At 43.7% G+C, this 12,364-nt stretch overlaps 1 protein-coding gene across 9 annotated transcripts in view, besides 1 other annotated feature; it reads right to left on the bottom strand.

Moving 5' to 3' along the window:
* The window catches only part of PML (PML nuclear body scaffold), a 53,112-nt gene that overhangs the window by 33,687 nt on the left and 7,061 nt on the right, over window positions 1–12,364 (bottom strand). The gene's annotated exons all lie outside the window — the stretch shown is intronic.
* Window positions 6,900–7,199: an enhancer, noted in NCBI's record as "active region_9739". NCBI's record gives its function as "activates an Ori minimal core promoter by ATAC-STARR-seq in GM12878 lymphoblastoid cells {active_cell/tissue: GM12878}" and the evidence as "EXISTENCE:reporter gene assay evidence [ECO:0000049][PMID:35858748]".

Raw genomic sequence — 12,364 nt, 5'->3', positions numbered from 1 at the left:
CTCTCCCCAGTGCCACCAGCATGGTATTTCTAAAATATGGTTATCCTCATATGCTGAGGTGATGGCCAGTATGCCTGTCATAAGTACAATCCAAATAGTGTCAGCAGTGAGAAATTTTTTAAGCAACTTATGTGTTATATGTTATTAAAGGAGATTCAAATTTTGGAACAAAGTACATCATGGGGGGAAATTCATTGACTTTCATAACAATACACTACAATTATATAGTATTGAATATTGCTGAACATTAACCAATATTCAATTTGGATTTACATGCCGGTAAATGTTGCAAGAAATAAGACAGAGTTTATCACATAAATACTGATTATAAAGCTATTTTATTTAAATCTGATCTATTTTCAGTACATGAAATGTCCAGAGATGGAAATACCTAAAATAATCAATTAATTAAAGCCATGTATAAGAGAAAAGATAATTTGATGAGTAAGGTAAAAATAACATAGCAATATATGAGTTGAGTAACATATGGTGAGAACGGGCAGCTCTTCTATTCAGTCATGCCAAATTTGAAACACCTCACCTACTGTTACAGCTTTGGCAGAACATAACCAAATTGCAAAATATGCCACAGCAGGAATTTGTTACAAAATTCAAAATTCAAAGAGTAAAGGTAATCATTAAATGTTAATAGAATCTGGTGACACAGAAAACAGGCAGTAACTCCTTGTGTGACATAAATAATTCTGATATTCTCAAGCACTTTTATAAAAATATGTATCAAGTGAATGTATATGGTGGTTCTAATCTTTGTTACTCATTCATTAAGTCATTAAGTAAATAAGTTCCCCCACCCTAAATGGTAGTAGTACTGTTATATTACTAAACTGAACACACCTAAAGTTAATAAATTACAAATTGTGATATTATTAGTAATAGAGCAAGAAAAAGAAGAAAATGAGAAGGAAGAAAAGGAAGATGGAGGAGAAGTAATTTAAGCAATTGAAATAAAGATAATTTTTAGATTGAAGGAGCATGCTAGGTTCCAGAATAATTTGATACAAAATGTTAAACACCAAGACAGCTTGGTTAAATTAATAAATTTCAAGAATAAAAAATATCTTTAGGCATAAAGACAGAAAAAGCAAGTCAGTTTGACCCCAGAGCTGTCCTAATGAACATTTGATGCTGGAAGATAATGCAGCAGTGTCTACAAAATTGTGAAAGTGATTGTGACCTAAGAATATTATACCCAGCCGAGATATTATTCAAGTATCAGAGTAACCCAAAGACATTCTCAACACCAAGAGACTCAAGGAATTCAGAACAAAAAAGTCCTTCTTGGAAAAAAAAAATTGCTTTTTGATAATATCTATCCAATTAAGAGCTCAATCAAAATACAAAACTTGGGAAAAGTGATGTTAAAGTAAAAAGACCAGTGGTGAACCTTACAGTCCTATTGACATGGAACCAAAACTAGAAGGATGGAAGCCAACCATCTTGATCTTTCATTGCAGAGACTCAGTTACTACCATGTAAAATAGAAGCATTTCATTAAAAACAAACGATATGGGGCTGGGCATGGTGGCTTCTGCCTGTAATCCAAGCACTTTGGGAGGCCCAGGTGGGTGGATTACCTGAAATCAGGAGTTCGAGACCAGCCTGGCCAACATGGCGAAACCCCATCTCTACTAAAAATACAAAAAAATGGCCAGGCACGGTGGCTCACGCCTGTAATCCCAGCACTTTGGGAGGCCAAGGTGGGTGGATCACGAGGTCAGGAGTTCAAGACCAGCCTGGCCAAGATGGTGAAACCCTGTCTCTACTAAAAACACAAAAATTAGCCAGGAGTGGTGGCAGGCACTTGTAATCCCAGCTACTCGGGATGCTGAGGCAGGAGAATTGCTTGAACCCGGGAGGCGGAGGTTGCAGTGAGCCAAGATTGCGCCACTGCACTCCAGCCTGGGCAACAGAGCGAGACTCTGTTTCAAAAAACAAAATGGCTCCAACCTCTTAATGTCTTGGGGTTTTTTTCTCTTAATCTTAGAGGGACCTTTTAGGAAAATATTTTAAGATGAAGAATTATTTCTTTGAAGTTCAGCAAGTCTAATTTCACTTTAGTTTCTTTATCTTCTGTAAAAGGGAAAATTAAGTTCAACATTGCTTAAATTGCATGCTTACTTAAGATACACTCTAAATTCTTAAGAAACAACTTTTAGAATTCTTTTTGCAACTCAGTGCAGTCATTAGCTGTGGGCTGCCTGAATGTAGAGTCCAGCAGGAGTAGGAAAGGGGCACCCATTCTGCAATCAGGAAACCCTGCATCCTGTTCTGGCCCCGGCTCTGGCAAGCTCTCCCTTTTGGGAAGCTCCTGTTAACTCTCTGGCCTCTCGCCTTGTTTGTACAAAGGGAACAGTTCTCTCTTCCTGATAATCTTACAGGAGGGTGTGGGAGTTAGGAGAATAGCACAGGAAAAACATCTCAAATGGCAGGATAGTTCTCCACTTTGTCAACAGGAAAGGTTGCATGCAGCCTGAACAGCCCATTCCCTAACCTGGTTGGAAAAGGATGGCTTTCTATTGAAAAGAGTTTACCCAGGCACCAAGGGGTCAGGGTGTTTCACTTGAGGCTGGCTTCAAACCTGTCCCCTGCACTTCAGTTTCTGTTCCACTGCCTTCCATATACCTGGAGTGTTTTTTTCTTCTTTGCTTTCATTTACGGTGGCTATTGGACATTTTTTCTAAGATGTATTAAAGGCACATTCTTCTTTCTTCTTGTACCAATATGAAACTGGACTTTGCCTTTAGGTAGCCACACATTCCTGTTCTCAGTCCATGAGCTTTGGGGGAGCATATGACTCAGGCTTACGCTAATCTGAGAACCCCCCTAGCCTGAGCCACCCTTGCAGGGAGAGGAACCTGACCCAATCAAAGACACACTGAGATTTAGCTTGGAATGCTGGGAGAGATTCACACTCTTTTCCCCTTGAATTTGGGGCTGAGGGTGTAACCTCTGGAGCTGTTGCAATCATCTGGCACCCATGAGGAGTAAACCCTTCTGTGAATGGACCAGTCTTGGAAGAAAGCCAGGTCACAAGAAATACAGAGAAAGTACCTCCTGGTGACACAATCTGAATATCTAATTGGTCAGGTCAGAGGCCAGCTTGACCCCTATGCACTTACATCAGCCATCAATCCAGCTTTTGCTTAAGCTACTAACTAAAAAAACTCACTAATTTATACAGTTTGTTTTAGATGCAACTTATAGAGACAAATAAACCCTTCAAGGTGTAGCCCAAATGCTAAAATATCAGGGTTTCCCTGACCCTCCCACATAAATACAAGTTTTCCCTTCTGAAAACTGCCACAGCACTTGATCTGAACGTATCTTCTGGGACCTCTGGGTTCTTGCCATAGAGTACAAGTCTGCACACACATGCAACTTATCCATAGGCTGAAACTCTCCACAAATTCAAGCTTCGAAGGCAGGCATTCTTTTTCATCTGGCAATAGCTATCATAACACCAGTCATGAAATAAATGCTCAATAAGTGATTGCTCAATGGCTGTCTGGCTGGCTGGCGGTGGTTCTATTAATAGTTTTTAATTTTATCAGTTAGCAATCAATGAGAAAAGCTTGTTAATTTCTTTTTTTTTTTTTTTTTTTAGAGACAAGGCCTCGCTCTGTTGCCCAGGCTGGAGTGCAATGGCATGATTATGGCTTACTGCAGCCTCAACCTCTGAGGCTCAAGTGATCCTCCCACCTCAGTCTCCCTAGTAGCTGGGACTACAGGCGTGCACCACTATGCCAAAAGCTTGTTAATTTCAAGTCTTGTTAAAAATTGTTCTAAAGGCTGGGCACAGTGGTTCACGCCTGTAATCCCAGCACTTCGGGAGGCCCAGGCAGGTGGATTGCCTGAGCTCAGTAGTTTGAGACCAGCCTAGGGAACATAATGAAAGCCCATCTCTACAAAAAAAAAAAAAAAAAAAAAAAAAAAATTAGCTGGGCATGGTGGTGCATGTCTGTAGTCCCAGCTATTATACTTGGGGGTCTGAGGTGGGAGGATAACTTGGGCCTGGGAGGTCAAGGCTTCAGTAAGCTATAATCGCACACTGCACTCCAGCCTGGGTGACAGAGCAAGTCCCTGTCTCAAAAAAACAAAACTAAAAAACCCAAATTGTTCTAAAATGTCCCAGGCCTCCATCCCTGAATAGCAAAGCCCACTCCCATAGCTGCAGAAAGTAGAGGCGATTGGCCTTCAGGAGAAGTGAGACCGGAGCACCAGCCCTAATCCTGATCTTGGCTTGCGCTGCTTTAAATTCCCTGCTTCTGGCTGGGCGTGGTGGCTCAAGCCTGTAATCACAGCACTTTGAGAAGCCGAGGTGGGTGGAGCCCAGGAGTTCGAGACCAACCTGGGCAACATGGTGAAAACTCGTCTCTACAAACTAGGAAGGCTAAGGTAGGAGGATCACTTGAACCTGGGAGGTTGAGGCTGCCGCAAGCCATGACTGTGCCACTGCACTCCAGCCTGGGTGTCAGATCAAGACACTGTCTCAAAAATAAACAAATAAATAAATAAAGTCCTTGCTTCTTTCTCCAAAACATCAAAGGAGACCAGGAGGAAAACCCCTTTTATCCACATATTATTCTATAAATCTACCTTCAAGATAAGTTCATAGAAAAACTAGGAAATGGGTCATTTATTGTCCACATCTTTCATCATGTTGCCCAACTCCTGGCAGCAGCCTTTCTTCTGCCCATGTAATGCTCCTTGCAGGCCAGGAAGCAATCCCAATAATATCAATCCCCAATAAAATGCAATTTACTGCTAACTTCACAGAGGGCACCAAGAGAGCACCAAGCAGGGATAGGTGCCAATCCTTCAATCACACCTCTTAAACTTGATTAATAGGCCTTTTGTTTCCTCCATTCAATGATAATTCAAGCTCTTTCAGCTGGATTAATTCCCCAACTCCATCCAGCAAATTTTAGGATCTGACACCCAGACGCAGACAGGACTTAGCTCCACCTGCAGCCCTAGACCCACACCATGCTTGGGTGGAAGCACTCCTGAGAATGTCTGGTCAGGCAAGTGCTGGCAGTGTGGGACCACAGCCGTCTCCACACCCCTCCATCTCTGCATTCTTGCAGGCCTCACCCCCACCTGGACCTAAGACCTAGTGTACTCATGAGGCTCCCTTTCCCTTGTCCAGATTCTTTGCTTCAGTTTCTATTGGATAAGTATCCCACATCTGGTGATAAATCCCCTCAAATTCTCCGTGGAATGGGGTGAAATATAAATAAGTATGCAGCCAAAGAAATACTGATATCCCTGTTCCCAAACTTGCCCACTCTTGTCAAAGTACCAGAGTGCAGAGAGAGGCTCTGATCATCCCACCACTCCTCAATGCCCATCAATGGGTTTTCCTTTTTTTTTTTTTTTTTGAGACACAGTCTCGCTCTGTCACCCAGGCTGGAGTGCATCGGCGCAATCTTGGCTCACTGCAAGCTCCGCCTCCTGGGTTCACGCCATTCTCCCGCCTCAGCCTCCTAAGTAGCTGGGACTACAGGCACCCGCCACCACGCCCGGCTAATTTTTTTGTATTTTTAGTAGAGACGGGGTTTCACCATGTTAGCCAGGATGGTCTCAATCTCCTGACCTCGTGATCTGCCCACCTCAGCCTCCCAAAGTGCTGGGATTACAGGCGTGAGCCACCACGCCCGGCCCCATCAATGGGTTTTCAACAGAGCCCTCCACAGGGTCCCATTCCCATTGTCTTCCAGAGGATAGTCACTGGTGAGAAGATTAGGTGGTATGAAGGCATGACAAAGGAGAAAGCTGAGAACACTGAGTGTTCTGGAAATTGTAGCATAGAGTCCTGACTCCTTCCAAGCCTGCCACATCTGACCCCAACTCACCCTTCTAGTGCCTGCCCTCACATCAACCTTCTATTGCAGTTCCTGAGATGCTGCAAACTCACTAGTGCCCCTTCCTTGCACGTGCAGTCCCTCCTGTCTGTGGCCTTTCTATTTCCTTATACATCACACTAAGTGTGATGGCCTCTTGGAAGCCACCTTCCCCAGCTGATCCCAGCAGGGTAAGTGGCCTTTTCTGAGCTCAGCCACCTTTGTGCCTGCCTGACTTCTTCCTTCCACAAATGACTGAGCACAAACAGGATGTCAGCCCTGTGCCAGATACGACATGTTGCTGAGGGCAAACATAATACAGAAGACAGTGTGACAAAGGTAACTATCAAAACGCAGTCACAATAGACAGCAAAGTCATGCAGCCTTCTGCACGGAACCCTGCCGCCTCAATTGTTAATGGCTGATCTGTTTACCAGGCTGTGATCTCAAGGAGGGGCTATGTCCATTCATATTTCTACCCCACCCCCTAGTAAAGAACATGCAACACAGTAGGTGTGACATGAACATGAAAAAATGGACTCCACAGGCATGTGGAGCAAATACCAATGGCCCCAGGGCAGCCACCCCAGGGCAGCCACCCCAGGGCAGACACCCCGAGTCCCAGGTTTAAAGCCACCTCTGGGGCTGCTCCCCAGTGTGAGCTCTAAATCAGCCCAGGGTCAAAGAGCGAGGTGGCTGCTAACTGACTTGTGACCAGAGGAAAGTTGTGAGCTCTTATTTATGGCATTGAAGTTTTGTGCAGAAAAAATAAGTTGAGTTTGTCCAGTAACCACTGGTAAATTGTGAAACAATGTGAAATGGGAGTGGGAGCACATGATTTTTCAGGTTTGTTAAGGCCATGCACCGTGCTCAAGGAACAGGAATCCTGCCCTCTTGCTGGCTGAACCTTCCCTGCCCATTGTACCTGACATAAGGGATAAAAATATGCCACTCCAAAATATGCCACTTTGGCATATGATTGTTTTGAGCTGCAGGCAAATGAAAACCAACAGACGCAGAAAGGAGCCTTCTAAGAGCTTCTCTCATGACTAAAAACAGAAACTCTTTTGACTCTTACGCTCTTTGCTCTTATGACAAAAAACAGAAACTTCTGAGAAACAAGAACTACCATAAATCTCCTCTCTCAGGGAAGTTTTACAGCCACGAAGATGGAAAGCTGGCACCAAGTAGGCCCGCACAAACAAACCTTACTCCATTAGAGTTCCCATATATTTACCAAATCTCATGTTGAAGTGTGACCTCCAATGTTGAAGGTGGGGTCTAGTGGGAGGTGTTTGGGTCATGAGGGTGGATGCCTTATGAATGGCTTGGGGCCATCCCGTGGTAAAGAGTAAATCCTCTCTTTGGTAGTTCAAGGGAGAGCTGGTTATTTAAAGGCGCCTGGCATCTCCTTCTCTTGCTTCCTCCTTCTCTCTCTCTTGCTCCCCTCTTGCCATGCGACACGCCTGTTCCCCCTTCACCTTCCGCCATGAGTAAAACCTACCTGCAGCCTCACCTGAGGCCAAGCAGGTTTCTGGTGCCATGATTGTACAGCATGCAGAACATGAGCCAAATAAACCTCTTTTCTTTACAAATTACCCAGCCTCAGGTATTCCTTCTAGCAATGCAAAACAGAAACACAACTTCCAACAGTTTGCCACCTTTGCAAGCCTAAAACCCCTTTCTTTTACCCTGCCACTTCTCTAAACATTTCTTTCTCTTTCATTAAGATGCTATGTAAGCTGAAGTTCTAACCAACGCTTTGAGTTACTCATCTCTGGATACTCCCAGGTATATGCACAATTCCCATGCTAGATGTGATACCCATGCTAGATGCACATGCTAAAAAGCTCCTGTTTTTCTTTCTTTTTTTTTTTTTTTTTTTTGAGACGGAGTCTCGCTCTGTCGCCCAGGCTGGAGTGCAGTGGTGTGATCTCAGCTCACTGCAGCCTCCACCTCCAGGGTTCATGCAATTCTCCTGCCTCAGCCTCCTGAGTAGCTGGGATTACAGGTGTGTGACACCATGCCTGGCGAATTTTTATATTTTTGGTAGAGATGGGGTTTCACCATGTTGGCCAGGCTGGTCTCGAACTCCTGACCTCAGGTGATCCACCCACCTCAGCCTCCCAAAGCGCTGGGCCTACAGGTGTGAGCCGCAGCACCCAGCCTGCTTTTCTCGTGTTAATCTATATCTTGTTAGTCTAATTTACAGGGACCTAGCTGGACATCTAAAATGGGTACAGACAAAAGGTTTTTTTCTATCCCTAATGGAGAGAAATCCACCTCTGACCCCCACAGCAGAGGTGGGACTACTTACAAGCTGACACCATCTGGGGCTCGTGGGGAGCGGCCCTGTTCCACTGCAGGGATTGAATGTGGGGTATAAATTGTGCTTTACACAATTGCTGCCAGCCCACGCTAGCTACAAACACTGAACAATCTAGATGTCAACTTTTACATGGGAGCAGATAGCACAGACCGCAGGACCTATGAAGAGAATCAGCAGCCAAACTGAGCAAGTACCCATTGAAAAGGGGATCGTGTAGGAAACATACACCTCTGTAAATGCCAACTGTGTTTTTCAGGGAGACTTAAGAACACACTACAATGAGAAAACAAGAGCAGGCTGCCAAGAAAAAGCATCCTGAGAGCATTAAGCTCTTTTGGCAATTAAAAAAAAAAAGATTGCTGGGGGGAAAAAAACCCACAACAACTCTACAGGGGTAGCAGATAGAAGAATGGAGTCAGCGGCGAAAAGATGAGCTGGCGAGTTAGAAAAACAATTCGAGGAGCTCTCTGAGAATCTCGGGGAAAAAAGCAAAGCAACAGAATTAATGGGGAAAAAATTTAAAAGATGTAAAATATGTTCTTGGAGTTCCAATATCCATATAACAACAGTAGTAAAAATTTTAAAAATAAACAAATGGGCCGGGTGCAGTGGCTCACACCTGTAATCCCAGCACTTTGGGAGGCTGAGGCGGGTGGATCACGAGGTCAGGAGTTCGAGACCAGCCTGGCCAATATGGTGAAACGCCGTCTCTACTAATAATACAAAAATTAGCTGGGCATGGTGGTGCGCACCTGTAGTCCCAGCTACTCGGGAGGCTGAGGCAGGAAAATCACTTGAACCCAGGAGGTGGAGGTTGCAGTGAGCCGAGATCGTGCCATTGCACTCCAGCCTGGGTGAGAGTGAGACCCTGTCTCAAAAAATAAAAATAAAAAATAAAATAAACAAATGAAGGGCTATCAGTATATTAAAAAGTATGGCCAGGCACAGTGGCTCACGCCTATAATCCCAGCACTTTGGGAGGCCAAGGCGGGCAGATCACTTGAGGCCAGGAATTCAAGACCAGCCTGGCCAATATGGCAAAACCTTGTGTCTACTAAAAAGAAAATGCAAAAATTAGCCAGGTGTAGTGGCGCATTCCTGTAGTTCCAGCTACTTGGGAGGCTGAGGCATGAGAACTGCTTGAGCCTGGGAGGCAAAGGTTGCAATGAGCCAAGATCATGCCACTATATTCCAAGAGCAATACTCTATCTCAAAAAAAAAAAAAAAATTAAAAAGCAGAATACAATTTCCCTGAGATGAAGAGCTGAAGAAAGACTTGAGTTTTTCAGATCAACAATGGCGATAGAAGATTATTGAAAAAAGAAAAAATTATATAAAGATCTTTAGCAGGCTGGGCATGGGCTCAAGCCTGTAATCCCAGTGCTTTGGGCGGCTAAGGCAGGAGGATCACTTGAAGCCAGGAGTTTAGACCAGCCTGGGCAATATAGTGAGACCCTATCTCTACATAAAATTTTAAAAATTAGCCAGGCATGGTGGCAGGCACCTATAGTCCTAGCTACTCAGAGACTAAGGCTAGCAGACCTCTTGAGTCTAGGAGTTCGAGGTTACAGTGAGCTATGATCACACCACTGCACACCAGCCTGGGCAACAGAGCAAGAACTTATCTCTAAACAAACAAATAAACAAATGAAAACCATCCAACTATATTTATTAGCCAGGCACGGTGGCAGGTGCCTGTAGTCCTGGCTACTTGGGAGGTCAAGGTGGGAGGATTGCTTGAGCCCAGGAGTTTGAGGCTGCAGTGAACTCTGATTGCACCACTGCATTCCAACCTGGGTGACAGAGTGAGACCCCATCTCTAAAAAGTAAAATAAATAAAAATAAATAAAGATCCTTAACAAACAAAAACAGATTACTCACAGAGAAAAAATAGACCATTAGTGGACTTCTCATCTACAACACCAGAGACTAGAAATTTATGAAGCAAGGTTTATATATTCTGAGGTGAAAGCACTGTGATTATGACCTCAGAATTTTACACCTAGCTCAACTTTCCCTCACATGTGACAGCAAAAGAAGGACATACAAGTAAAGACACTTAAGGTCTCAGAAAGTAAACTCTGGAATAATTTTTTTAATTACTTGATGGAGTATTCCTGCCAAATGGAAAATTAATCACCTTAAATAATTCAAGAAAGGAGAAGAAAAGCTATAGGAAAACTTATCATGAGCAATGAAACCAATTAAAGTATAAGGTATGGCTAACAAGTGCGTTGTAATATGACCATGAAGCTTAATACCTGTTCAGAAAGGATGTTTACAAAAGAAAAAAAAATTAACAATTTGGTAGTAATCTGGAACTAAAAGTTCACATTATTTCAACTAAATCTGAAAGTGAGAAGGAAGAGGGAAGAAGAAAAACTATAAAAGTGTGCTAAATGTTTTATTTTCTCTGGAAGAATAGTTATATTCTACTCTTTGTGGTGATAGATGAGATAGGTTCTAGAGTGTGCATGTATGTGTGTGTTGGTGTGTGTATACACTTTTTTTTTCTGAGATGGAGTTTCACTCTTGTTGCCCAGGCTGGAGTGCAGTGGCACAATCTCAGCTCACTGCAACCTCCGCCTTCCAGTTTCAAGCAATTCTCCTACCTCAGCCTCCCGAGTAGCTGGGATTACAGGCGCCCGCCACCACGCCCGGCTAATTTTTGTATTTTTAATAGAGACGAGGTTTCACCATGTTGGTGAGGCTGGTATTGAACTCCTGACCTCATGATCCGCCTGCCTCAGCCTCCCAAAGTGCTGGGATTACAAGCGTGAGCCACTGCGCCTGGCCCACTTTTTTTCTTTTTTTAAGACAGAGTCTCATTGTGTCACCCAGGCTGGAGTGCAGTGGCGTGATCATGGCTCACTGCATCCTTGAACGGACAGGCTCAGGTGATCCTCTCTGAGGAATACCTCCACCTCCCGAATAGCTGGGACGAGAGGCATGTGCCACCATGTCCAGCTAATTTTGTATTTTTTTGTAGAGACGGGGTTTCACCATATTGCCCAGGCTGGCCTCAAACTCCTGGGCTCAAAATATCCACCGGCCTTGGCCTCCCAAAGTGTTGGGATTACAGGTGGAAGCCACCACATCTGGCCTATATATATGTTTTGATGGGGAAGTTACCACTCTGTAATTATCATTTAGAGAACTGGTGAAACAGAATGGAAGGAAAGGTAGAAAGTTTCGGCCAGACATGTTGGCTCACGCCTGTAATCCCAGCACTTTGGGAGGCTGAGGCGGGTGGATCACAAGGTCAGGAGATCAAGACCATCCTGGCCAACATAATGAAACCCCTTCTCTACTAAAAATACAAAAAAAAAAAAAAAACTTAGCCGGGCATGGTGGCACACGCCTGTAATCCCAGCTACTCAGGAGGCTGAGGCAGGAGAAACACTTGAACCCGGGAGGAGGAGGTTGCAGTGAGCCGAGATCATGCCACTGCACTCCAACCTGGATGACAGAGCAAGACTCCATCAAAAAAAAAAAAAAAAAAAGAAAAGAAAGAAAGGTAGAAAGTTTCAATAGCGTGGAGATACACACACACACACAAGCACTAGAACTTACATATATATGGATATATACATATAGATATATGCATATATACACATATATATTATATACATATATTTGTGTATGTATATATATGTGTGTACAACAAATACAACTTTTCAACTCTAAGGATTATTGCTAGGAATATGTGAGTCCAAGGAATATCCTAGGCCGCTAAGAAAATCTCAATATAGTCTTAGATGTAGAACTCATACAAACTGTATAAACTGGCCATAGTGCAGAAATTAACAAGTATGAAATCGCACCATCACATTCCAGCCTGGGTGACAGAACAAGAAACCAAACATCAAAACCACTTGAAAATTTTAGAAAACACTATTCTCTAAAACTTTTCAAGAGAAAAAAATTTCTTTTTTTTTTTTTTCGAGTCAGGGTCCGGTTCTGATGCTCTGGTTGGAGTGAAGTGGCACCATCACAGCTCACTGCAGGCTCAAATTCTTAGGTTCAAGCAACCCTCCTGCCTCAACCTCCCAAATAACTGGGACTACAAGCATGTACCACCGACCATGCCTGGCTAATTTTTTTTATTTTTTGTAAAGATGAGGTCTTGCTATGTTGCCCAGGCTGATCTCGAACTCTTGACCTTAAGCAA

This window comes from Homo sapiens, chromosome 15 (assembly GCF_000001405.40).
Source record: "Homo sapiens chromosome 15, GRCh38.p14 Primary Assembly".
Taxonomy (NCBI): domain Eukaryota; kingdom Metazoa; phylum Chordata; class Mammalia; order Primates; family Hominidae; genus Homo; species Homo sapiens.
The sequence above is the reverse complement of the archived record's forward strand: the minus strand, read 5'-3'. Positions and strand labels throughout refer to the sequence as shown.